This window comes from Homo sapiens, chromosome 5, assembly GCF_000001405.40.
Source record: "Homo sapiens chromosome 5, GRCh38.p14 Primary Assembly".
In the NCBI taxonomy this organism is placed as follows: Eukaryota; Metazoa; Chordata; class Mammalia; order Primates; family Hominidae; genus Homo; species Homo sapiens.
In genome coordinates this window covers 57,975,291-57,977,751 of record NC_000005.10, presented here as the reverse complement: position 1 = coordinate 57,977,751, position 2,461 = coordinate 57,975,291, and positions in this window count along the sequence as shown.

Here is a 2,461-nt window from a genome sequence, read left to right as displayed (position 1 = left end):
GGAGGAATAAAATATAACAAGCCAGGACTGGGTCACTTCCCTAACTATGTTGTGGGGACTAAGAATGTGGTTACTAGGGTAGGGAGGGTCAGGTAGCATGATATTAAAAATCAGTAATGTGAAGGCTTTCTAATTGCCCAAAACAATAACTGCAAGAGTCTGCTGTAATAAATTTTATTTTTTCATGCTTTCTGCATAATTTGTGCCTGGTAGTCTGACTATTGGGAAAGCAGAACGCTGTGTTTGATTGATACTGACAAGGCTTTTTATAACAGAAAGAATAACAAGTATTAGATGAATTTGTGATATGAAGATCCCTTTATCATTTTATACTTATCCCTGAATTTCCACAATTTGAATTTACAAGTAGTGAATTTGTTAATGAGTTAACAAACAGGAACACCCTTTGCGGAAGCCCCTTCCTAAAGTCTTCTATCTCCATCTGTTCCATTATTATTTTCCCCTCCCCTGTCTGAAATAGGAAGAAAAAGGTAAGCAGAAAACTCCATGCAGGCTGTGTATATAGCACCTTCAGAGAGCTACAGCTTTCAGAGCTAGAGGTCATCACCTCTAGGCACTAAGACCAGATGCATCCACACCCACCTGGAAAGATTGTATGTGCAATAAGAGTCAAGATACTCATTATTTTGCTGGAGGTTCAGGACATATTGAAGAGGAAGGGAAGAAGAGGCCACACTTCTGAGGTTCTTGTACTTCTTGCTGTTGAGTAGTCATGGAGGAGCTTGGATTTTCTGCAACGTTATTAGCCAAAGTAACAATGACAATTACTTAGTTTTATAAATGTTAAGAAAGAGGCAGGACATGGACATTCATTTTATTTTTTTATGTTATTTTAGATTTAATTTAATTTAGCAGTGCAGACCTAAAATATTTAGTATGGATTTAGATGTGCTTTCTATACATGGATTTCAACTACAGTGAGGTAATTCTGTAGCCAAAATTTCCATGTCGGTTTCCTGTTTCCTGATACCCATACCTCAATTATGGCAAGGTTGCTATCTTCCTAGTTTGGCATTTCAGGAATGTGTTTTGAGAGTAATCCCTGAGACAAGTTTAGAATCAACTCTTCTTCTTTTGCAGAGAAAGAGAACTGATAGGACGTGTGTGTGTATACACAGACAGACAGACAGGTTTATTTTAAGCAATTGGCTCACATGATTGTGGAGGCTGGCAAGTCAAAGATCTACAAGATGGGCCAGCAGGTGAGAGAGTCAAGGAAGTTTTGATGTTCCAGTTCAAGTGTAAATGCCATTTGCTGGCAAAATTCACTCTTCTTCAGGAGACCTCAGTTTTTCTTTTCTCTTAAGGCCTTCAACTAATTGAAAGAAAATCACCCACATTATAGGGGGTAACCTGCTTTACTCAAAATCTGCTGATTAAATGTTACCCTCATCTAAAAAATACTTTTACAGGAACATTTAGAATAAGGTTTGATCAAATATCCAGGTATTGTGGTCTAGACAAAGGCACACATAAAATCACACCTTCCAATAATGTGTCAGTGCTCAATCCCCTGTGTCAAATCACTTTTGTTTAAAAGAGCTAGTAGTCTGTTTTACCTGAAACAAAATTCTGACCATTATAGTAGTAGACACCAAAAATGGCCACATGTAATAGTTCTTCAAAGTTAAGAACCTGGGGTTGATTACTTTGTTTATTTGAGTTTAAAGGCAGTGAGGTTCTAGTTAACAACTAGTAGCCTCTTGTCTTCATCATCTGGGGCTGCTATAATTAATACCATGAATGGATGCCTTAAAAAACAAATATTTTATTTCTCACAGTTCTGGAGGCTGAGGAGTCCAGGATCAAGGTGCCAGCAGATTTGGTGTCTGGTGAGAGTCCTCTCCCTGATTTGCAGTTGGTCACCTTCTTGCTGTATTCTCACATGGCAGAGAGAGAGAGAGAGAGAGAGAGAGAGAGAGAGCATCTGTCTGGTGCCATGTCTTATAATGACACTAATCCCATTTATGAAGGCTGTAACCTCATGACCTCATGACCTCCCAAAGGCCTCACCTCCAAATGCCATTACACTGGGGATTGGGGGTTTATTGTTTTGAATTTGGGGAAGACACAAACATTAAGTCCATAGCATTCTGCCCTTGCGCCCACAAATTATGTATTTCTTATATTAAAAATGCATTTATTTCATCTCAATAGCCCCAGAGATCTTCACTCATTCCAACATCTACTCAAGTCTAAACTCCAACATTTCATCTAAATATCAACTAAATCAGATGCAGGTAAGATATAAGGTATGATTCATCTTGAAGGAGTAGAATTTTCAAATTGAAATGGTGATATTTGGGAGGATTTAAATAACTCCAAGTACTCTAAGTCTTACCCTTCACTATGTTTCCTTGCAATCTGAAACATTCTTTATTTTCCTGTTTTATAAGGCCAGTTCTGACTAGCTTGAAGATACTGCGATGACTTCTTTGCA